At 41.9% G+C, this 25,307-nt stretch overlaps 1 protein-coding gene across 7 annotated transcripts in view; it reads right to left on the bottom strand.

The window, feature by feature from the left end:
• The window catches only part of ANKDD1B (ankyrin repeat and death domain containing 1B), a 60,394-nt gene that overhangs the window by 14,120 nt on the left and 20,967 nt on the right, over positions 1–25,307 (bottom strand). For 5 of the 7 annotated variants that reach the window (XM_017009814.2, XM_017009815.2, NM_001276713.2 and 2 more), the window contains 4 exons: positions 22,731–22,829; positions 21,845–21,943; positions 4,487–4,585; positions 1,600–1,698 (listed from right to left, as the gene is read on the bottom strand). In XM_017009814.2, the coding sequence (XP_016865303.1) occupies positions 1,600–1,698; positions 4,487–4,585; positions 21,845–21,943; positions 22,731–22,829 (396 nt within the window). The remainder of the gene's footprint in view (positions 1–1,599; positions 1,699–4,486; positions 4,586–21,844; positions 21,944–22,730; positions 22,830–25,307) is intronic. The other 2 variants (XM_011543623.3, XM_017009816.2) reach the window with 2 other exon arrangements.

Genomic DNA, 25,307 nt, shown 5'->3' with positions numbered 1-25,307 from the left:
CTATATTGGCCAGGCTTGTCTCAAACTCCTGACCTCATGATCCGCCCGCCTCAGCCTCCCAAAGTGTTGGGATTACAGGCATGAGCCACCACGCCCGGCCCCAAAAAGCATTTCTTAAAGACTCACCTTCAAATGGCAGTGTGTCTAGGTGTTTGTCATTCAAGACATTACACTTATACTGACAAACCTATCAAAGATCTGTACCAACATGGAACAGATGAAAATGGAATGTATCAAATGCAACAAAACCCATTTTAACAATACTGCTACAAGTCTAGAAGGCAGGAAATGCACTAAAACATTAAGAAGAGTTATCTTTCTTTGCTGGGGACTTCAAACACATTAAGTTTTTTTAGCTTATATTTTTAATTTTACATACATATTTTATATTTAAAATATAAAATTTCCTATTTTTTATGTGTATTCTTGGTCTAATAAAAAAATTAAAGTGATGAAGTCTGGTTCTGAAAAAGGATAGCAAACCTAACAAACACTCCTTCCCTAGAGTACATCTAGCCAGTTCTGTCAAAACCAATATCACATGTGAGCACGAAGCTCTGCCTCTGTGTTCAGCAAAGATTTTGCCCATTGGGAAAGATTTTAGATATTAACGTAGTTGAATACATAAGTATATTTAATAACAAAAGGAGATTGGTTTTTTTCCCCAGAAAAACTTTTGGGATAGGTAAAGGCAGGGGAGGAGGCTAGGTTCCCTGGAGGAGAGAAGGGACCGAAGTACAGGTAAATCTTCATTCAGCTCAGAGCAAAATTGAGCTCATAGGTGGGAATTGGAGGAGACTGCAGAGATCTGAGTCAACGCTCTGGTTTCACAGTGTATTAGGACAGGCAGGCATGCCCACTGCACCATGGCTCCTCCCTAGCCGGAAGGGCACCGCAGAGCCTTCTCTGGGAAGAGGCAGCCAGAAGGTCTCATCTGGCCTCGGGACCCTGGAAAGGCTCCTCTTCCCACTCCCCTACATATCCTGGAAGAGGGCAGGCCAGCCCCAGAAGAGCCCCAGAGAGCAGGCTCATTCAGTGCCCACCCCCATTCCCTTCATCATTCCGTTGCGGCATTCCCATTTCCAGCCAGTGATGGATTACTTTAACGAGTCATTTGATTCTGCTCCAGTTGACTGAAATTGGAGTGATTTTTCTTTTATTCCAAGAGGCCTCTTTTGCCTTTAGGTAAAGAGAAGATACATTTACTGTCTTTAATATAGAAACAAAGCTTCCTTCTTGTGGGGGAAAGGCTCCCTGCCAATTACAATATTTCACTCTGGGGGAGTGGCTTTTGATTTAAAGAGCCTCTGGCCATTTAGCTCTGAGCTACTGTTTTTCTATCAAAAATGCTGGGCCTGTTAAACATGAAGGATTTAATCACGCAATGGCTGAACTCCAGTTGTGTGGCTGAGAAAGACGAAAGTATGTGTGTGGTCATGGAGATGGAGTGAGAGTTACAGAAGGAAAAGGATAAAAAGGATGCTCATGTTCCTCCCAGGAATTTTTAGGTACCTTGAACTTAATCAAAACTCCCCATAAACACACACTGTGTTGAAACTAAGAAAAGAGACCCTCCAGGCTCTGATTTGCCTGGCTTACCTGATTTAAGATGTCAATATCATGCTGTGCACTTAATAAACTGTTTACAACCGTGATGTGGTTGTTGATAACAACTAAATGAAGAGGGGACTCCTTAGGCTGCAGAGAGAAATAAAAATTTCAAATCCAGAAGGTTCTGGCTTCAACATTCAAATCAAAAAGCAACTCATTTCAGCAGCTATTTCCTGATGATCTCCCAAGTACCGAAACTGCCCATCCCAGTGGTGACCCTTAGTAAGTGTTCAGCATTTATTGTCATCCCAAGGCTTTGAAACAAACTCGTTCCCCAGCAATCGGCCCACCCCCTTTGTTCTTTCTGGAACAACATACTAAGCACCTACTATGGGCCAAGCTCTTTTCAGGTTGCTAGGGATTTAGTGTGAACAAACTCATTCTCAGGAATCTTCCAATCTAGTCAGGTAAGCAAATATTAATTTTTTTAAGTCACACAAATACAGTATACAATTAAGTGCTTTGGAAGTAGAAGAGCCAGTGTGGGGATAGGGGGAAGGCTGACCTTTCAGGAGGTCAGAAAAGACTATTCTGAAGAACTGACATTTAAACTCAAATATGAAGGATAAGTAAGTGTTAAATAGGCTGAACCACAGGACTTCTCAGAGACTTCAAAAAGCTAAAGGGCAATAAGAGTAGCCACAAGGGCAAAATCATTGCACATTTGGAATTTCCTGAATTGATTTGCTCTGGAGCCCCGACTCCTCAGTGTGCCCTGTAGGACTCGTGTCCCCCTTACTCAGGGGCACCATCCTCATGCTCAGCTCTCCCCGCACGGAGTCTAGCCACAAGGTGGTCACCAAGCCCTCTGCAGCCTGCTCTCCCGTTCTCCTTTGTGGCTAAACCACCTGTCTTCCCAGCCACAGCCCTTCATGGAGCCCCCGGCCCCTCTCACTTATCCCAACCACTGGCTTCTTACCCAGCCCTGCTAGGCCACAGGGCCTGTATCTACCCCCGACACTTTGCCTCCAGGCTCCTGTGCTGCTACAGTCCCACCCAGCTGCCACTGGCCTGTGGAGACATGAGAGGAGACATGCCTCCAGGAGTAGAGACGGCAGCTGAGCGGGGCGAAAAGGGAGGGAAGAAACAACGAAGGGAAGTGAGGGCAGAAGCGATTAAGGCATGAGAGAGAGGGAGGTGAGGGGCATCCAGCATGATAAGGGAGGGAGGCGGGGCACCAGGGGAAGGTGGACAGGGGTGTGACAGCAAGGGCTGAAGATCCAGTGACACTGTGCAGATCCGGAGCCGAGCTGAGTGTGAAGCGAGTGGCGAGAGGGAACAGGCGCCTACGAGGGTGAGTGATTAGGACAAGGGCAGCGTCGCTCAAGTGGAATAGCTGATATTAATGATACGCATCAGACACACTCAGCACATTCTCATCGTGGTGCTTATTACACATTCACTTCCCCAACTGTTTCTTTTATTTATTTTTTTCAGAGATGGGGTTTCACTCTGTTGCCCAGGCTAGAGGGCAATGGAGTCATCGTCATTCACTGTAACCTGAAACTCCTGGGTTCAAGCGAACCTCCCACCTCAGCCTCCCAAGTAGCTGAGGCTACAGGCATGCACCACTGTGCTTGGCTAATTTTTAAATTTTTGTAGAGATGGGGTCTTGCCATGTTGCCCAGGCTGCCCTAACAGTTTATACTCTGTTTTAAACACCAGGCTGACAGTTTTTCAAAAATCACGTCAATAACCCTAGACATTTGATCTCATATTCCCCACTTCATACATGAGACACAAAGAGGATCAGTAACTTCCACAAGGCCATGCAGCAAGGAAGTGGCAGAGACAGGACTTGAACCCAGACCTTTCTGACTCTACCATCTGCACCAGGCTCTGTCTCAGGAGATGGGGGTAGATGGATGGAAGAGAGACCACAGTGAGTTGGCAAGAGTGTCACCAGCAGATGGAGGGAGGGGAGACGAGGGGACAGGTAGAAGACCACAGCTGAGTAAGTCAGAGACTGTCGGAGGCCAGCAAGGGTCAGAGCAGACAGATGATGTGAGCAGGGCTATGGGAGCAGCATGAAAGGAAGAATTTCTGTGTAGGTCTCTTCTGCTCAGGAATAACCTCCTTGAAGCACTAAGCATGAAAAACGAGAAAGCATCCCACATTGCAAAGAAGTGGGCATTGGCCTTCTTGCCGGGGCCACCCACCTTGCAGGGGCCCAGCTCCTCCTGAGAAACAGGAAGTGTCCTTGGACTGAACCAGGTAAGTTCAGAGTCAATTCCCCCAACACCATGCTCCAAAAACTATCTGACATGATTTAAACCACATCCCTCCTCTTGAGTTAATACAATAAATAGTAATGGCTCAGCAAGATCAGAGGAAATCATATTCTCAACGGAGAAATGAAAATAGAGTGGAAAAATAGAGGCATGTTTCTTGTTTAATTCCAGCACAGAGGACCTTTGTTAATTCTGCCAAAGCCAATTCAAACGTCAGAAAACCTAAATCAGTATGAAGAATTGACTTTCAAAAGAAAAACAAGAACATTCAGTGAAGGGAGAAAAATTATCACTCTTCTTGATATGTACAGCTGCTTCATTATTTTCCCAGACTAATAAAATTAATACAAGAGTAATGGCATCTCTAGACGTATGAGAAAGCTTTTTTGCGGCAAATACAAATATTTAAAACACAAAGATTTCATTTTGTTCAGGAACTTCAATGACTTTCTAAAATTCATCCCTCGGATTTTATTTCTCAAGATTAAGACTCAGCCTCCAAAAGAAGTCAGCCAGCCTTCCCAGAAAGAATTCCTCCCTTGTGAAACATCTCATCTCCTACACGTATCTGCAAGGGGCATCTCCCTGACACAGCCAACCTCACGGCGCCAGGACCAAAGCCCGTGTCATTGGAATAAACTCACTTCCACTTTCTGGTGCAGATCAACGTTCTCACTGAGAAGAAAGTTGACAAGGGATGCATGGCCGTTCCTGGTTGCTATCTGCAAACTACTGATATTGAGCTGCAAGAGACAATAGAGAGGGCAAGGAGGAACTCTCATTATAATTCAGCATGTTTTCTGGTGTTTATGACATGGTAATCAGTTAATACAATGAAATAGTACAACTACAGTCGTGCATCACTTAACAGTGATTTGGTCAATGACAGACTTGAAGTGGTCCCATAAGATTACAATGGAACTGAAAAATTCCTATGGCACAAGTACTTAACTATGTTACTATGTTACTATGCTGTACAGGTTTGTAGCCTAGGAGCAATAGATATACCATATAGTGTGTTGTAGGCTGTACCATCTAGGTTTGGGTAAGTACACTCTATTTATGTTCACACAATGAAATCAGGCATTCCTCATAACATATCCCTGTCATTCAGAGATGCATGGCTGTATTTAAAAAAGAAAATCTGGCTGGGCACAGTGGCTCATGCCTGCAATTCTAGCACTTTGGAAGGCCAAGGCCAGTAGATCACTTGAGCCCAGGAGTTTGAGATCAGCCCTGGCAACATGGTGAAACCTTGTCTCTACAAAAATTAGCTGGGCTTGGTGGTGTGTCCCTGTGGTCCCAGGTACTTGGGAGGCTGAGACTGAGGTGGGAGGATGGTTTGAGCCTGGGAGGCAAAGATTGCAGTGAGCCGAGATCATGCCACTGCACTCCAGCCTGGGCAACAGAGTGAGACCCAGTTTCTAAATAAATAAATAGAAAATCCATTGTGTTTTTAATTACCGGGGTGAAGGGGAGCTATTATTAGGATGGTACAAAAGCAATTGTGGTTTTTTCCTAATTGTTTTTTTCTAAGTGTCTCCCATAAAAGTGTCAGAGCCCTAGGGAACACGTGTGCAACAGACTGAATGTTTGCGTCCCTCCCAAAATTCATATGTTGAAACTCTAATGTCAATGTGATGATGATAGGAGGTGGGGACTTTCGGAGGTTATTAGGTAATTCGTTGTTGACTGATTAATTGTAAGACTGCTACAAAGTATTTGCAGGTCTTTCAATTAAGGATGCTGCTGGAAATTGCTTTCCCGCAATTGCTGCATCAGTATCTCCTTTCCCACAGTCTCTGCAGTATAACCTTGCCACTCCCCTCATCAAGAGGCAGGGTTATTTTCTTCACTCCTTTGAATCCAGATGAACCCTGGGTGGAACCCTTATGAATGAGACCCATGCCCTTGCAAAAAGAGGCCAGAGAGCTGGCTAGTTCTCTTTCTGCCATGTGAGGATACAGCAAGACAGTTGTCCGTAAACCAGGAAGAGGGCCTCATCAGAACCTGATCTGCTAGCACCCTGATCTCAGACTTCCAACCTCCACAACTATGAGAAATAAATGTTTGTTAAGTCACCCAATTTTATGGTATTTTTTATAGCAGCCTGAGCTGACTAAGACACTATGCCTAGGGCAAATATGAGTTAAAGCCTCATTTCCCTTCTCCCAGGAAGTAGGAAGTGGACTAGAACCAGGTCTTCTCTCCATACACCTCAGCAAAACCCCTCTTTGAACCAAATAGGTGACTTGGTATTAGCCCCAAGAAAGGACTGTTTCCTGCAGCCCTGTTTACTGCCAGTCTCCCCTGTGCTAGGCAGACATTCAATGCTCAGCATAATTTCTACTTGCAGCTTCCCTCATCATCTTCCTACTCGGCCCTTTCAGCGCCTCTCCTTCCCTGTGCTCAGCTGTCTTTGCTTAGTGCCCAAGGAGTCGGGCACACTGCTTGAGGGGATGGTCTGCTCCTGGCACTCCTGCCATCCTCCAAATGGCCCAGCATGGTGCCTTGCAATAATACAAAGTCAATGAATTGGTTGTTGACTGATTAATTGTAAGATTGCTACAAAGTATTTTCACATCTTCCAAATAAGGATGCTGTTGGAGATTGCTTTCCCAAAATGGCTGCATCAGTATCTCCTGTCCCACAGGCTCCTCTGCAATATGTCTTTGCCACTCCCTTCATCAAGAGGTGGGGTTTATTTCTCCACCTCCTTGAATCTGGGTCGACCCTGTAACTGCTTTGACCAATAGAATATGGCAGAAATTCCAGCGTGCCAGTTCCAGGCATGGCCCCTAACTAGCCTGGCAGCTGCTGCTCTCTGCCTTTTGTAATGCCTGCTCTTGTAATCGTTCCTCTTAGAGGCCAGTTCCCAGGCTGTAGGCTGAGGCACATGGTGAGGCCCAGGTGAGCTCCCACCTGACAGCCAGCATTAACTGCCAGGCATGTGAGTGTACTCTCTTGGGTATTGGGCTCAGGTAAGCCTTCAAAATCCTGGCTGACTTCCAACTGTAATCACATAATAAACTCAAACTAAGAATCCTCTCAGCTGAGCCCAGTCAACCCACAGAGCCATGAAAATAATAATACATTGTTGTTTTAAGCCACTGAGCTTTGGGTTGGATTGTTAGGAAGCAATAGATAATGGAACAGATGCCAACAGCAATGACCTGTATATCTCTGACCAACTGAAATCTAGCTTGCATGATGCTAAATGCCTATATGACCTTGGATATGTGGCCTGTCAAGTACGGGCCTCTTTGTCTTTGCCTGTAAAAATGGCCCCTATATTAGTTTTCTATTGTTGTTATAAGACATTGCCATAAAATTAGTGGCTTAATAAAAATGTTTTATTTTATAGTTCTGGAGGTCAGAAGTCCGAAATGGATCCCACTGGGCTAAAAAAAGAAGTTCGCAGACCTATGTTCCCTTCTGGAGGCTCTCAGGAGAATCCACTTCCTTGTCTCTTACAGGTCTTAGAAGCCTCCTATGTTCTTTGGCTCACACCCCCTTGCTCCATTGTCAAAACCAGCAACAGTTAGCTGAGGCCTTCTCACATTGCATCACTGACATCTTCGTCTGCCTCCCTCTTCCTCTTTAAAGGATCCTTATGATTACATTGGGCCCACCTGGTAATCCAGGAGAATCTCATTTTAAGATCAGCCAATTAGCAACCTTAATTCCATCTGCAATTTAAATTCTCCTTTGCCATGTAACATAACATATTCACAGGTTCCGGGAATTGCGATGTGAACATCTCTGGGGTGGGGAACCTGACCCTGCCTACCACATCACCCCCTTCTTTCTCTGAAATCACAATACTACTGGGAGGATACGTGAGCCAGTAAATGTGTATGGTAACCGTAACTATTATTTTATCCATTCCACAAAAAATATATTGAGCACTTATTTTGTGCCAGGCACTATTTTAGATAGTGGAGGGATATGTTGGTAAACAACACTGACGAGATCTCAGACATTACATTTCAGTGGTGGTGGACAATCAATTGATCCATAGATTGGTAGACTTGTAGATCAGCAGATCAGTGGACTTAAATTAAATCTGCTTTTTAGATTCTAGATGTTGTTAGAAGAATAACATCAGCTAGTTGTAAGTTCTACAGCAAGACATAAAATAGCATGACTTGTTGGCTACTTTCTAATGGCTGATCAACAAAGCCTTCTTGGATAAGGTGACATTTAAACTGAGATCAGAATGGTCAGAAGTGCCCTCCCTGGGAAGATCAGAAGCCACCTAAAGCAGAAACAAATTTACAAGAAACTCAAAGCAGGAACCCTGTAGTAGGAGTCCACAGCATTTACCTCTAGGCATCATGGGCTCCGTGTGTAGGGCCTACAGACTTTTTATGTGCCAAAGAAACCGTTAAAATGTAAAACATAAAAAAATTATTGGTTCCACGATACCAAAAGAAAACCACAAAATTGAAGTGAATAAATATTTAATTGACATTCATACTTCATTGATTGTTAAATGTAATATTCATAAAATATTCATATTTATAAACAATTTGTAGGTTGCATTTTTTCACCTCCCTCAAATTCCCAATTATGCACACAGAGTTCTAAGAAATCAGAGTCAATCATAAATTAGGTGAGTCTGTCATAGCCAAATAATTGCAAAAAGCAAAAACAAAAAAGCCTTTTAGAGCAATTACCAGCAAAAAAAAAAAAAAAAAGTAAAGAGGAATGTGGGAGCACTTAAATATGTATGATAAAATGTGAGGTAGGACCTCCAGGAATGAGTTTTTAGGACCTACAAAAGCCTTTATTGGACCCAGGGCAGTTAATAGGGCCCTAAAGAGAGCCTGTTGCCCTAATTCTGGGCAGCCCCTCCACCCAACACAAATGGAGGAAGCCAGGTGTCAACTACATTCATAATCTCACTCCAACATCCTCCTTAGAAATGACTCAACCCTTTACCCACTCCCCTTGATGATGGGGAGGTGGGAGGGAGCACAAAAGCAATCTCCTGGAAACCAAGACTCAGTGTCAGCAGGTGAAGTGTGTCCAAGATCAAACACAGCAATCACCTACAAATGTGAAAGCAAACCAAAGTCCAACCCATCCCGGGCTCGTGTGTGTTCTTGCTGTTGGCTTCTTGCTTCACACTGCTTTTCTCCCCAGGGTTTTCACTGGGTTGGACAGATAGGTGTGGATAGCTAGTGGGGGCTGAGGTTGTTGATTGAGAAGTGTGCTGATGAACTCGGGAAAAATTCTAAAAGTAAAAGCTAAAAAATGGATTCACGATCATTTCCAGGCTGCCTAGAGCAGCTGAGACCACTGGCTGTAAGGACAGGGGCAATATGGAGCCTGAAGTCTCAGTCGGATGGGGAGAACGTGTGCATATGAAAATCACTACAAAGCAAAATACTTAAGGGCAAAATAATTAAGGACAAGGGTAAGGCAGTGTACAAAATAATGGAGTAAGCCTGACAGAGTCTTGCTAACCTGGGAAGCCTTCCCAGGAACTTGAAGGGGGATACCGACTGGGGACAAGGAGGCACCTGTGTAATGACTGTAGAGGCACAGCTCTCCACATTCTCCACATTCTGAATATTTCATGGCTCCCATGAATTCTTTTTTTTTTTTTTTTAATTTTTTTTTTTTAATTATACTTTAAGTTTTAGGGTACATGTGCACATTGTGCAGGTTAGTTACATATGTATACATGTGCCATGCTGGTGCGCCGCACCCACTAACATGTCATCTAGCATTAGGTATATCTCCCAATGCTATCCCTCCCCCCTCCCCCCACCCCACCACAGTCCCCAGAGTGTGATATTCCCCTTCCTGTGTCCATGTGATTTCATTGTTCAATTCCCACCTATGAGTGAGAATATGCGGTGTTTGGTTTTTTGTTCTTGTGATAGTTTACTGAGAATGATGGTTTCCAATTTCATCCATGTCCCTACAAAGGACATGAACTCATCATTTTTTATGGCTGCATAGTATTCCATGGTGTACATGTGCCACATTTTCTTAATCCAGTCTATCATTGTTGGACATTTGGGTTGGTTCCAAGTCTTTGCTATTGTGAATAATGCCGCAATAAACATACGTGTGCATGTGTCTTTATACCAGCATGATTTATAGTCATTTGGGTATATACCCAGTATTGGGATGGCTGGGTCAAATGGTATTTCTAGTTCTAGATCCCTGAGGAATCGCCACACTGACTTCCACAATGGTTGAACTAGTTTACAGTCCCACCAACAGTGTAAAAGTGTTCCTATTTCTCCACATCCTCTCCAGCACCTGTTGTTTCCTGACTTTTTAATGATTGCCATTCTAACTGGTGTGAGATGGTATCTCATTGTGGTTTTGATTTGCATTTCTCTGATGGCCAGTGATGATGAGCATTTTTTCATGTGTTTTTTGGCTGCATAAATGTCTTCTTTTGAGAAGTGTCTGTTCATGTCCTTTGCCCACTTTTTGATGGGGTTGTTTGTTTTTTTCTTGTAAATTTGTTTGAATTCATTGTAGATTCTGGATATTAGCCCTTTGTCAGATGAGTAGGTTGTGAAAATTTTCTCCCATGTTGTAGGTTGCCTGTTCACTCTGATGGTAGTTTCTTTTGCTGTGCAGAAGCTCTTTAGTTTAATTAGATCCCATTTGTCAATTTTGGCTTTTGCTGCCATTGCTTTTGGTGTTTTGGACATGAAGTCCTTGCCCACGCCTATGTCCTGAATGGTAATGCCTAGGTTTTCTTCTAGGGTTTTTATGGTTTTAGGTCTAACGTTTAAATCTTTAATCCATCTTGAATTGATTTTTGTATAAGGTGTAAGGAAGGGATCCAGTTTCAGCTTTCTACATATGGCTAGCCAGTTTTCCCAGCACCATTTATTAAATAGGGAATCCTTTCCCCATTGCTTGTTTTTCTCAGGTTTGTCAAAGATCAGATAGTTGTAGATATGCGGCATTATTTTTGAGGGCTCTGTTCTGTTCCATTGATCTATATCTCTGTTTTGGTACCAGTACCATGCTGTTTTGGTTACTGTAGCCTTGCAGTATAGTTTGAAGTCAGGTAGTGTGATGCCTCCAGCTTTGTTCTTTTGGCTTAGGATTGACTTGGCGATGCGGACTGTTTTTTGGTTCCATATGAACTTTAAAGTAGTTTTTTCCAATTCTGTGAAGAAAGTCATTGGTAGCTTGATGGGGATGGCATTGAATCTGTAAATTACCTTGGGCAGTATGGCCATTTTCACGATATTGATTCTTCCTACCCATGAGCATGGAATGTTCTTCCATTTGTTTGTGTCCTCTTTTATTTCCTTGAGCAGTGGTTTGTAGTTCTCCTTGAAGAGGTCCTTCACATCCCTTGTAAGTTGGATTCTTAGGTATTTTATTCTCTTTGAAGCAATTGTGAATGGGAGTTCACTCATGATTTGGCTCTCTGTTTGTCTGTTGTTGGTGTATAAGAATGCTTGTGATTTTTGTACATTGATTTTGTATCCTGAGACTTTGCTGAAGTTGCTTATCAGCTTAAGGAGATTTTGGGCTGAGACGATGGGGTTTTCTAGATAAACAATCATGTCGTCTGCAAACAGGGACAATTTGACTTCCTCTTTTCCTAATTGAATACCCTTTATTTCCTTCTCCTGCCTGATTGCCCTGGCCAGAACTTCCAACACTATGTTGAATAGGAGCGGTGAGAGAGGGCATCCCTGTCTTGTGCCAGTTTTCAAAGGGAATGCTTCCAGTTTTTGCCCATTCAGTATGATATTGGCTGTGGGTTTGTCATAGATAGCTCTTATTATTTTGAAATACGTCCCATCAATACCTAATTTATTGAGAGTTTTTAGCATGAAGGGTTGTTGAATTTTGTCAAAGGCTTTTTCTGCATCTATTGAGATAATCATGTGGTTTTTGTCTTTGGCTCTGTTTATATGCTGGATTACATTTATTGATTTGCGTATATTGAACCAGCCTTGCATCCCAGGGATGAAGCCCACTTGATCATGGTGGATAAGCTTTTTGATGTGCTGCTGGATTCGGTTTGCCAGTATTTTATTGAGGATTTTTGCATCAATGTTCATCAAGGATATTGGTCTAAAATTCTCTTTTTTGGTTGTGTCTCTGCCCGGCTTTGGTATCAGAATTATGCTGGCCTCATAAAATGAGTTAGGGAGGATTCCCTCTTTTTCTATTGATTGGAATAGTTTCAGAAGGAATGGTACCAGTTCCTCATTGTACCTCTGGTAGAATTCGGCTGTGAATCCATCTGGTCCTGGACTCTTTTTGGTTGGTAAACTATTGATTATTGCCACAATTTCAGAGCCTGTTATTGGTCTATTCAGAGATTCAACTTCTTCCTGGTTTAGTCTTGGGAGAGTGTATGTGTCGAGGAATGTATCCATTTCTTCTAGATTTTCTAGTTTATTTGCATAGAGGTGTTTGTAGTATTCTCTGATGGTAGTTTGTATTTCTGTGGGATTGGTGGTGATATCCCCTTTATCATTTTTTATTGTGTCTATTTGATTCTTCTCTCTTTTTTTCTTTATTAGTCTTGCTAGCGGTCTATCAATTTTGTTGATCCTTTCAAAAAACCAGCTCCTGGATTCATTGATTTTTTGAAGGGTTTTCTGTGTCTCTATTTCCTTCAGTTCTGCTCTGATTTTAGTTATTTCTTGCCTTCTGCTAGCTTTTGAATGTGTTTGCTCTTGCTTTTCTAGTTCTTTTAATTGTGATGTTAGGGTGTCAATTTTGGATCTTTCCTGCTTTCTCTTGTAGGCATTTAGTGCTATAAATTTCCCTCTACACACTGCTTTGAATGCGTCCCAGAGATTCTGGTATGTGGTGTCTTTGTTCTTGTTGGTTTCAAAGAACATCTTTATTTCTGCCTTCATTTCATTATGTACCCAATAGTCATTCAGGAGCAGGTTGTTCAGTTTCCATGTAGTTGAGCGGCTTTGAGTGAGATTCTTAATCCTGAGTTCTAGTTTGATTGCACTGTGGTCTGAGAGATAGTTTGTTATAATTTCTGTTCTTTTACATTTGCTGAGGAGAGCTTTACTTCCAACTATGTGGTCAATTTTGGAATAGCTGTGGTGTGGTGCTGAAAAAAATGTATATTCTGTTGATTTGGGGTGGAGAGTTCTGTAGATGTCTATTAGGTCCGCTTGGTGCAGAGCTGAGTTCAATTCCTGGGTATCCTTGTTGACTTTCTGTCTCGTTGATCTGTCTAATGTTGACAGTGGGGTGTTAAAGTCTCCCATTATTAATGTGTGGGAGTCTAAGTCTCTTTGTAGGTCACTCAGGACTTGCTTTATGAATCTGGGTGCTCCTGTATTGGGTGCATAAATATTTAGGATAGTTAGCTCCTCTTGTTGAATTGATCCCTTTACCATTATGTAATGGCCTTCTTTGTCTCTTTTGATCTTTGTTGGTTTAAAGTCTGTTTTATCAGAGACTAGGATTGCAACCCCTGCCTTTTTTTGTTTTCCATTGGCTTGGTAGATCTTCCTCCATCCTTATATTTTGAGCCTATGTGTGTCTCTGCACATGAGATGGGTTTCCTGAATACAGCACACTGATGGGTCTTGACTCTTTATCCAACTTGCCAGTCTGTGTCTTTTAATTGCAGAATTTAGTCCATTTATATTTAAAGTTAATATTGTTATGTGTGAATTTGATCCTGTCATTATGATGTTAGCTGGTGATTTTGCTCGTTAGTTGATGCAGTTTCTTCCTAGTCTCGATGGTCTTTACATTTTGGCATGATTTTGCAGCGGCTGGTACCAGTTGTTCCTTTCCATGTTTAGCGCTTCCTTCAGGAGCTCTTTTAGGGCAGGCCTGGTGGTGACAAAATCTCTCAGCATTTGCTTGTCTATACAGTATTTTATTTCTCCTTCACTTATGAAGCTTAGTTTGGCTGGATATGAAATTCTGGGTTGAAAATTCTTTTCTTTAAGAATGTTGAATATTGGCCCCCACTCTCTTCTGGCTTGTAGGGTTTCTGCCGAGAGATCCGCTGTTAGTCTGATGGGCTTTCCTTTGAGGGTAACCCGACCTTTCTCTCTGGCTGCCCTTAACATTTTTTCCTTCATTTCAACTTTGGTGAATCTGACAATTATGTGTCTTGGAGTTGCTCTTCTCGAGGAGTATCTTTGTGGTGTTATCTGTATTTCCTGAATCTGAACGTTGGCCTGCCTTGCTAGATTGGGGAAGTTCTCCTGGATAATATCCTGCAGAGTGTTTTCCAACTTGGTTCCATTCTCCACATCACTTTCAGGTACACCAATCCGACGTAGATTTGGTCTTTTCACATAGTCCCATATTTCTTGGAGGCTTTGCTCATTTCTTTTTATTCTTTTTTCTCTAAACTTCCCTTCTCGCTTCATTTCATTCATTTCATCTTCCATTGCTGATACCCTTTCTTCCAGTTGATCGCATCAGCTCCTGAGGCTTCTGCATTCTTCACATAGTTCTTGAGCCTTGGTTTTCAGCTCCATCAGCTCCTTTAAGCACTTCTCTGTATTGGTTATTCTAGTTATACATTCTTCTAAATTTTTTTCAAAGTTTTCAACTTCTTTGCCTTTGGTTTGAATGTCCTCCCGTAGCTCAGAGTAATTTGATCGTCTGAAGCCTTCTTCTCTCAGCTCGTCAAAATCATTCTCCATCCAGCTTTGTTCCGTTGCTGGTGAGGAACTGCATTCCTTTGGAGGAGGAGAGGCGCTCTGCGTTTTAGAGTTTCCAGTTTTTCTGTTCTGTTTTTTCCCCATCTTTGTGGTTTTATCTACTTTTGGTCTTTGATGATGGTGATGTACAGATGGGTTTTCGGTGTAGATGTCCTTTCTGGTTGTTAGTTTTCCTTCTAACAGACAGGACCCTCAGCTGCAGGTCTGTTGGAATACCCTGCCGTGTGAGGTGTCAGTGTGCCCCTGCTGGGGGGTGCCTCCCAGTTAGGCTGCTCGGGGGTCAGGGGTCAGGGACCCACTTGAGGAGGCAGTCTGCCCGTTCTCAGATCTCCAGCTGCGTGCTGGGAGAACCACTGCTCTCTTCAAAGCTGTCAGACAGGGACACTTAAGTCTGCAGAGGTTACTGCTGTCTTTTTGTTTGTCTGTGCCCTGCCCCCAGAGGTGGAGCCTACAGAGGCAGGCAGGCCTCCTTGAGCTATGGTGGGCTCCACCCAGTTCGAGCTTCCCGGCTGCTTTGTTTACCTAAGCAAGCCTGGGCAATGGCGGGCGCCCCTCCCCCAGCCTCGCTGCCGCCTTGCAGTTTGATCTCAGACTGCTGTGCTAGCAATCAGCGAGATTCCGTGGGTGTAGGACCCTCTGAGCCAGGTGTGGGATATAGTCTCGTGGTGCGCCGTTTTTTAAGCCGGTCTGAAAAGCGCAATATTCGGGTGGGAGTGACCCGATTTTCCAGGTGCGTCCGTCACCCCTTTCTTTGACTCGGAAAGGGAACTCCCTGACCCCTTGCGCTTCCCAGGTGAGGCAATGCCTCGCCCTGCTTCGGCTCGCGCACGGTGCGCGCACACACTGGCCTGCGCCCACTGTCTGGCACTCCCTAGTGAGATGAACCCGGTACCTCAGATGGAAATGCAGAAATCACCTGTCTTCTGCGTCGCTCACGCTGGGAGCTGTAGACCGGAGCTGTTCCTATTCGGCCATCTTGGCTCCTCCCACCTCCCATGAATTCTTAACTTTGTGTTTATTTATTGCATCAATAACCTTGCAACTTCAGTGGGAATCAACTCACACTACTTTGATTTTCCTCTCTCACAATCCCTGTGCATGTATATATAAATCCAATATTATATTAATATTTACTATACTATATTTTTTCAATTAGTGTTCTATGATTAACATGTTCAATATTGCAACATATTTTTAGTATTTATCACTATAATTTTTAACAGCTACATAATTTTCCAAGTAGATGCACCAAACCTTCTTTCAGCCTTCTCCTACCTTTCATTCCACGTATATGTTGTATCTAGTTCTTGGCTATTGGAGCTAACTTTATCATCTATCTGAATGCATGCAGCTAGCTTTCTGCCTTTTAAATTATTTCCTTAACATAATTTTCCATGTGTGGTTAAAAGGAAAGTGACAAATTGCTTTTCGAAAGATTATACAAATATAGACTCCCACCAGCAGAATACAGGGTATCAAACATGCCAGTTTGGGACTTTATTCTTGATTGGGAATTTATTCTTGCGTGTTTAAATTTGTACTTGTTGAAAAGAAATTGTTTATATATTGTGTGGATATAAAGATCTCTAAAATATATTGGCAATCAAAAGAAACCAAGGTGCAGAGCAGCATATATTATATACTGTGCTACTGTTTATACAGTGTTGGTATATATATGTGTATGGATTTAATTACATTTTCCATGTGGATTCATGGAAAATTCCTGGAAGACTAAATAAACTATTAAGGATGTTAGTTCTGGGGAGTAAAATTGCGATGTGGGGTTGGAGTAAGACACTTTTTTATCATATACCCTTTGGTGCTATTCAAATTTTTTGTCATGAGTTTTCATTACAATTAATTAGAAAAACAGAAAAAGAAACTAAACCATCTGAAGACAAAGCCATTGCAGGGGTTAAAAGCTGAGGCACTGGTGTCAGACATTAGTTTGAATCCTTGCACTGCTATTGACTAGTTGTATGATTCTGAATGATTTCCTTAACTTTTCCAAATTCTATTTTTGTGATCTAAAAAAATAAAAATAATAACACAGTCTCAAAAGTTTCAAAGGTTCTTAGCACAATGACTACATACAAAAGTATTCTGCATTTAGAGGAAGGCACCATCCTTCCTTCTTCCTGCACCAGGCTGACCACTTGAGCTTTCACACAATAAACTTTTTTTTCAGCGTCTTCTCTGTATAAGCCAAGCGTGCACTAGTTGCTATGAAAAAACAAAGTAGAATAGAGTGTCTGTTTCTAAGAAGTGACAAGTACTTGCTCATTTTGCCCCATTTTCAATTATTCCTTCCCCAAAAGAATAGAAAGAATGGCATTGCTTTTGAGGACACAGTAACTGGGGAATATTAGAGGTAAATCATTAATTCTTACCAAAAACAAAGCATATTATAAATATTAATTCTAAAGTACCAGTGAGTGGATCAATGTAGGACCAGTGTTTCCAAAGAACATTTTAAGTCTCCTTCCCACTGCATGAGTGAACATGGTCTGGAACACATACTTTATTTGGAATGTTGGTGTCACTTCCTGCTGTCAGCAGCACTTTGCTGCACTCTTCATGACCTCCTTCAACACTCAGAAAGAATGGTGTTTCTCCATTCCAACAAAAGGAAAAATAAGTTAAATTTAATTGCCCTTTGTCATGGAATGAAATTACTTGACAAACAACATGCTTTCTCTATGCCTTTTGTGCATTACTCTTAATAATGGATGGCATTTATTGAACAACTATGTGTCAACTTGTACTGCCAAGACTATATGCTTTGGCACAGTTAAATCACACAATGCTATAAGGGCAGGGTTAATATTATCCACATGTTACAGATAAGAAAACTAAACCTCAGCTGAAAAGTGTCAAAGTGGCTGGGTTCAGTGGCTCGGCCTGTAATCCCAGCACTTTGGGAGGCTGAGGCAGGCAGAATACTTGAGCTCAGGAGTTCAAGACCAGCCTGGGCAACGTGGCAAAGCCCCATCTCTACAAAAAGTTTAAAAAATTAACCGAGTATGGTGGTGGATGCCTATAGTCCCAGCTACTCAGGAGGCTGAGGTGAGAGGATCACCTGAGCCCAGGATGTTGTGGCTACAGTGAGATAGGATTGCATCACCACACTCCAGCCTAGACAACAGAGTGAGACCTCATCTCAAAACAAAAAAAAAAAGAAAGATAATCTCAGAAATAAGGAATTATAGTACAGTATGAAACATACAAAATTAGAAGTACGTTTGTACCAAGTATAACTTTAATCTTTACAACTGATTAAATGTTACATGACATTTTAAAAAATAACATTAATTAAAAAAATCTCAGTACTTCAGTTTCCTGAAACTCAAGACAAATACTAGAAGGACAAAGTAAGAGTTTAATTCAGGCCAAAACATAGAGGAAAAAGAAGGAGCTGGTCCCACACAATAGCTACTTGGCTATTTCCCTTTCCTCATGTAGAATTTCCTAAAAATATTTGGAAGAAATGCAGAATTCCTTCCCCATTCCCTAATGATTTCCCTCCTTGGACATTATTCTGCTTAACAACTGCCTTAGATAAATTCAGAAGGCTTTACTCATAGCTAATTAGGTATAAACAATCATGTTAACAGGAACACAAGAGTGTAGAAACCAGTGTTCCCATTCCAACAAGGTGGGAAAATTATATTCCAGGCTGCTTTACCTGGGTGCCTGGGACAGCCATCTGCTTATAAAGGCATTTCTCCGCCGGGTGCAGTGGCTCATGCCTGTAATCCCAGCACTTTGGGAGACCGAGGTGGGTGGATCACCTCAGGTCAGAAGTTCAAGACCAGCCTAGTCAACATGGTGAAACCCTGTCTCTACCAAATATACAAAAATTAGCCTGGCGTGGTGGCATGCGCCTGTAATCCCAGCTACTCAGGAGGCTGAGGCAGGAAAGTCACTTGAACCTGGGAGGCAGAGTTTGCAGTGAGCCGAGATCACACCATTGTACTCCCGCCTGGGCAACAAGAGTGAAGCTTCGTCTCAAAAAACCAACAAACAAACAAACAGAAAAGGCATTTCTCCCCATAATCTTTCTTCTCATTTTTCCAGGAAAATAGATGCAAAAAGACAAGTCCCAGTGGGAAAAACATTTATTAAAATAAAGTGTAAAGGAAACAATTCATGTCTTTAATATACCCAGAGCCTGATAAGGTTTCATATCTTGGACCCTACAATCTACTTCTAAGGATATACCCAAAGGCAATTGTGAGGAATTCAGACTAAGGTTTATATACAAAGAGGTCTGTGACAGCACTACCTATAATAAACAAAAATTGAAACTAAATATCCAAGAGCTACAGAATAGTTAAGTGAATTTGGGGCAGCTATGAAAAATATATTGTACATATATGCAGAGGAACAAAAAGGAAACTGGTAGTAAAATCCATCAGATGTGTCTAAGATCATCCTTTGAGCTGTGCATGGTAGCTCACACCTGTAATCTCAGTTGCATGGGAGGCTGAGATGGGAAGATCACTTGAAGCCAGGAGTTTGAGACCAGCCTGACCAACATAATGAGACCCTATTTCTAATAATAATAAATAATAATAATTCTTTGAGTTTAGAGAAAATACAAAACTGCTATTTATTTTTTATCTTGAATTTTAAAAATTTATATTTCTAGCATATGCTTTATAATGAATTAATTGAATTATAAATGTATATGTGATAGCCACATGATCAAACTTTCTTTACTGATATGGGTTTGCTACCAAGAATGTCTAGAAGCCACGGCTCTAGAGCATTCACATGGGTCACTCTAACTGATCTGGCAACAGCTTGTATCAGGAAACAGAGGCAGCCCACAAATGGACAAACATTATGAATGATATCCAAAAAGATAATATTATTATCACTGTGCCCTTAATTTTGTGCAAATGAAACCTATTATAATCTGAAATTAAAGTTTCCTGGGCTTTATGAGTTTTCCCCAATGTGCCCTGACTCCAAAGTTGCTAAAAGGAAGATGAAATCCACATGCATGCACATATTCCAGTGGTTTAAACATGTTTTAATAGAACAGGGAAAGCATAGCTAAGACTATAAATAACTAAGACTATAAATCCTGTGACTACAGGACTTGATCTCTGTTCTGGTTTGAATATTTGTGTCCCTCCAAAAATTCATGTTGAAACTTAAATCCCCAATGCAATAAGATTAAGAGGTGGCCTTTACAAGGTGATTAGGTCATGAGTGCTAGCTCAGTCAACCAGGTGGGTATAATTGTCGTTGTTTGAGCACATGCATTACATTGGAATGGGTATCAGTGGCTTAGAAGAAAATCTTAGAAACAACAGTGGGGCATTCTTTAAGAAATGCTGCATCTCCCATGCCGCTGTACTCCAGCCTGGGTGACAAAGCAAGACCCTGACGCTATAAGAAAAAAAAGAAAGTAAGAAAAAGAAAGAAAGAAATTGTCAAGACTGAATAAGAAAGTGATTTAGAAGAATCTAATTCAGCATGAAATTTAGAAACAATTAACTGAGTTATCTTGCTTATTTTTTCCTTTATATATGCATGTAAAAAACTAAAAGTCTAAACACATCTTCAAATAGGCAGCATAAAATAAATATTTTAAGTGATAATAAAGTTTTTTGTCATAGTTAAATGGCAGCATTATTTTTTCTGAGTGTTACATAAAATAATGGTGTGCCTTACAATCAATGGTATCTTAAGGTAAATGATTATGATACTAGTTCTTTCCGTAGCTCTCAGGAGAGGCATCAAGTTTAGAAATGATCAGAACATTAAACTGTGAAATCCAAGAGGACCCCACTGACCTGAGTTTCCAAACAGCCAGACAAAAAGTTACTGGACCATAGGTTGAGAAGTGACCATCCAGGGCAAATGACTCACAAACCCGCCTGCATAGCCACAGCCACATCCCCTGCACCAAATCCAGAACCAGTTTCTTTTTTCTTTCTTTTTTTTTTTTTTTTTTTTTTTTTTTTTTTTTGAGACAGAGTCTCTGTCGCCCAGGCTCAGGTGCAGTGGTACGATCTGGGCTCACTGCAACCTCTGCCTCCCGGGTTCAAGCGACTCTCCTGCCTCAGCCTCCCGAGTAGCAGGGATCACAGGCACCCGTCAGTACACCCGGCTAATTTTGTATTTTTAGTAGAGACGGAGTTTCACATGTTGGCCAGGCTGGTCTCAAACTCCTGACCTCAGATGATCCGCCTACCTCGGCCGCCCAAACTGCTGGCATTATAGGTGTGAGCCAGCGCACCCGGCTCCAGAACCAGTTTCCAGCTCGCTAACACTCCACCTGAATGTACCCACCTCCCAAGTGCCTCAAACAAACCCATTCAAGCCCTCATTACCTACCTCACTCACCTGCTCCCCCACTGTACTCCCCAACAACAGCCCAAGCCAGACAGCTGGGGGCAGAAAGTCCTCCCTCTCCCCAAGTCCTGGTCACAAGTCCTGTGGACTCTACCTCCTCCTACCACTTCATCCTGTTTGTTGCTCATGAGTGTCTCAGTGAGAAGCCTTCCATAGGTCTTGTTTCCCCCATTTTGGCAGTCACCTGACTGGTCCTCCCCACTTCTGGGCTCTCCTGGCACCAGTCTACCTTTCAAACAGCTGTGACAGTTACCTGCCCACACCTAAGATGAATCCCATCCCTTTTCACTGCTTAAAACCCTTCAAGGTATCTGCTGGCAACCACAGCAAAGCCAAACCCTCCCTCTTGTAAAGCATGGCCTTTCATCGTCTGTCTGCCTTGGCCCACTAAGCTTCCAGCTTTCCCAGCACTCCTATCCTCAATTTCTGCCACCCTGAGCTTGTCAGCCCGGAACACACCATACTCTTGCCTTGGTTCTTTTACTTGGACTTTTCCCTCTGAAATACTTTATACTCATGCCATCCTCAAAATCCCTCCTGCCAACGTTCATTACAATGTCAAGACCCAGATAATATATCACCTCTTCTGTGAAAACTGTAATTTCTGAAAAACATCTTTCTCTGTGTTCTCATGGCATTCTCTGTAGACTTCTATTATTGCATGTAGCCCAATACATTATTTGTTTTGCATGCCTTTCTTGCCCTGTAGGCTTCTAGAATAAGAATACATACTTCATCTGGCATACAGTACATATTAAACAACGTTATTTGAATGAATGCACGAATAAATGAATGGATTAACAAATGAAGTGCTGTGGGATACTTTGAAGAATAAAGTAAGAATCTTTCAGCATCACATTTTACACTCCATGGCACTAACACCTTTGTTTTCCTCCCACTCTTTTCTTGAAAGCCATTCCTCCAACCCTTCCACATTTAAGTCCTATGGCAATAACGAGCACTTCCACATACCTCATTCATCTCATTTATGTCTTGCCACTGGGCTAGCAGCACCTGCACTGCAGGACTGTGACCATGCTTCGCAGCGAGGTGCAAGGCAGTGTTTCCCCCCTGCAACAGAGACACACTCGACGTAGAAACCCCTGTGCCAGGAGAGCATGCTCCTTCAATAGTAAGGGCTGCAATGGAGTTTCTGGAAGTTTTCATTTTGGTTAAAGCTGCGGTCCAGAGTGTGGACCACTGTATCTGCAGTTTTAAGTGAAATTTATACATTTTTAAGTTTTAAATAAAAAGGTATAGTTTTTTGAACCAGTAGGAAAAAAATCATCCATGCTCCTTGTTCTAACTTTGCTACCAATTGCTAGCAAAACATGGAGCAACAAAAGCAATTCCATTTGACCTCTGTGAGGGTAAAATGGTGAAAGATTTCTGGGAGATCATTTTAGCAATATTGTATACTCAAAGATTTTAAAATGTGCAGAAGCCTTTGACCCACAATTCCATATCTAGGAATTTCTCCTAAGAAAGTCATCAAAGGTGTACATATAGATATGGACGTCTACCCCAGGGTTTTCCCCTCCCCTTTCATATAAGGCTGAGCCTCCAGGAGACCTCATGGGAGGAGAGAAGAGGGGTGGAGTTGATCATGGAAAAATCCATGTGGTCTATCGACTTCACAAACATTTATGAAGCAAAAACTGCCAATCTGGACAACCCAGAGCAACAGTGGAAGGATTTTGCCTGGATAGTTCATGATTCTCTCTGAGTACAGTAGCAATTTAACTCTCCTGCTGACTAAAACGCCCTCACCAAATCTACATGCCAATTGTTACCCCTCTACATCAATTGTTACTCCCCTTTCTCTTGTTCTCAGCAAAGAAATAAAAGTCCAACTCACCTTGTCCTTTTCTGAAGTATGCAGGTTTAGGAAGGTAAGTTTTTCTATCATTTCAACATGGCCCCTCTCAGCTGCCAAAAGAAATGGTTTTCTTCCTTTCTAAAAATCAATCACAAACCTCAAGCATTTATTACAGTCTTAGTGAACAAGCAAGACAATGGACAAAGCTAGCGACATTTCAAGGATGATGGGGAGTCCAAGATGGCCCTTCTTCAGGGAGGAAGATGATGCTATCTCTGACTCCAAATCAGATCAGGTTCTGGGTTTTCACTCAAAACTGTGGGAGACTCCACATCAGCATGAAATCTGTTTCATGGTGGCACACAAATACTGTTCAGAAAAGGTCCTCTCAAGCATCAGGAGAGGTGCAACATCACAGTCAGATGACAAGATTCCCTTTTAAATATAGCAATATTATGAACTTTATTTATTCCATAGTTATTTCACCATTTACTGAGAAGCTACTATGTGTCAGACCCTGTCTCAGGCACCTGCACATTATACTAAGCCTTCCCTTACTCTGGGGCTTATTATTTATGTGGCTCATTCAGACATGACATTTGATTAACTGCTTCTCCTTAGGCCTTCCTTTCTTCTTCATAGATTTATCTACAACATCTACTAAGAATCAATAGGAAAACTCTTGAGAATAGGTCAATACAAAATGGAATCAAGAAATGAGGCATTACCCAGAGAATACAGATGAAGAGAAATGTTTAGGTTTGATTTTTTTAGAAGATAAGCTCAAATATAGAATTTTCTGATTATGGAATTCCTCCTACTTTTCATGTTGCCAATGGAGACTATATTTTCCATAGCCAAAATGTCATCAAGAAAAGTGAAAGACCTGTCTTAGTCTGCTTTGTGTTGCTATAACAGAATACCTCAGGCTGGGTAATTTATAAAGAAAAGAGGTTTATTTAGCTCACAGTTCTGCAGGCTGGAAGTTCAAGGGCATGGTCTTGGCTTCTGGTGAGGGCTTTCACACTGTGTCATAACATGACAGAGAAAGTCAAAGGGATGCAAGCATGTGTGAAGGGACAAAACCCAAGAGCATCCTAGCTCCCACCTTTGTGGGAACTAATTTATTCCTATGAGAATGAATCTAGTCCCACCAGAGTGAGAACTCAGTACCTGAAGAATGTCACCAAGCCATTCATGAAAGATCCACCCTCATGACACAAACATCTCCCAATAGGTCCCACCTCCTACCACCACCAGATTGGGGATCCAATTTCAACATGCATTCTGGTGAGGACAAAGCATAGCCAAACTATAACAGATCCACAGAAAATGTAATGTTGTAACTTGAGATAATTAAAATAAGGAAAAGGAAGTTGTGGTGGCAATACGGTAGCAGAAGTATTTTCTTCAATTAAAGAGAAGAAAACACTCACAGATTGGCTTAGTGTGTTACTAACTGAAAGCTTAGCAAGGTGTCTTAATGTTAAAAAATAGATATGAGCCTCATCTAACACTTGATAAAATAGGGTAATGAAAAGATCACGGCCACTGTTAACCTGAGATAACAACATAGGAGCCCCCAATAACTGGAGAAAAAAAGGAAGAAAAAATGCTGAAATAATAAATGGCAAAAAGCGAAGACAAAAACAAATCTATAAAGATCAGTCCTACAGAGGTCTGTATTTATGCATGTATGGAAGCTGGAGAAACAAATTTGCACCAAAAAGTTCACCTAATTCATCATTCTTGGGCCACATATGTCACCAATGAGATCTACATCCCCAGCCCTTCAAAGGGTTTAGTGATTTCATTCTCAGGAAATCACTAAGAAATGGCAAAGGAAAGAAACAGAGACTGCTTGGAACCACAGTTTTCTGCTTTCAAGGTAGGCACTAATTGAAGGGTAAAATTTAATCTTGAGTCATGAGCAACTCTTTGGAAATGACAGACCAAAAATCATTGTGTTTGATATATCAATATCTGCAAATAGTGACTACAGGTAAAGTTTCATGTAAACAAATCAAAAAGAGGGAACAAGAGACAGTGATTATATACCAGATGAAAACATCTGGTCACATATCCTCATAAATAATTCATTCATTTGTTCAACAATTGTTGAGCGCCTATGAATATGCCAGATAATGTGCTAAGCAATAGAGTGACCAAGATGAGAAATATATTGCCCATCCTCAAGCTCAGAGTCCAAAAGGAGAGATGGACACATAAGCAAGTAATTATAATGTAATGTAGTAACCGAGTGCTGCTTATATATGGGGGTACATAACTCAGCATGAGTGTGTTTGTGGCTGGAAAGGCGGGTGGTGAGAAATGGTGGAAGAAGGCCTTTAAAGGTTGGTAATGCACTGGAACAGAAGAAAAGAGCACTTGTTACCTGATTCCTGCCTGCTATCTTTTACACTGGAGAATGACCCCTGGCTCATTTTGTGGAGCTGTTAATTATAGGCTCCTGCCTCTTCTACCACCTATCCCTTGGCCACAGTGCTTGGTTCAGGGATGGTCACATGCTAGGCCTATGAGAGCCAACCATGAGATATTTTTTTGGCTTATCCTATTTTTATTCTAGAGCCATCAGCTAGCTGTTAGTAGTCCTCT

Source organism: Homo sapiens, chromosome 5, assembly GCF_000001405.40.
Source record: "Homo sapiens chromosome 5, GRCh38.p14 Primary Assembly".
NCBI classification, from domain to species: Eukaryota; Metazoa; Chordata; class Mammalia; order Primates; family Hominidae; genus Homo; species Homo sapiens.
This window is presented reverse-complemented; position numbering and strand designations above follow the sequence as displayed.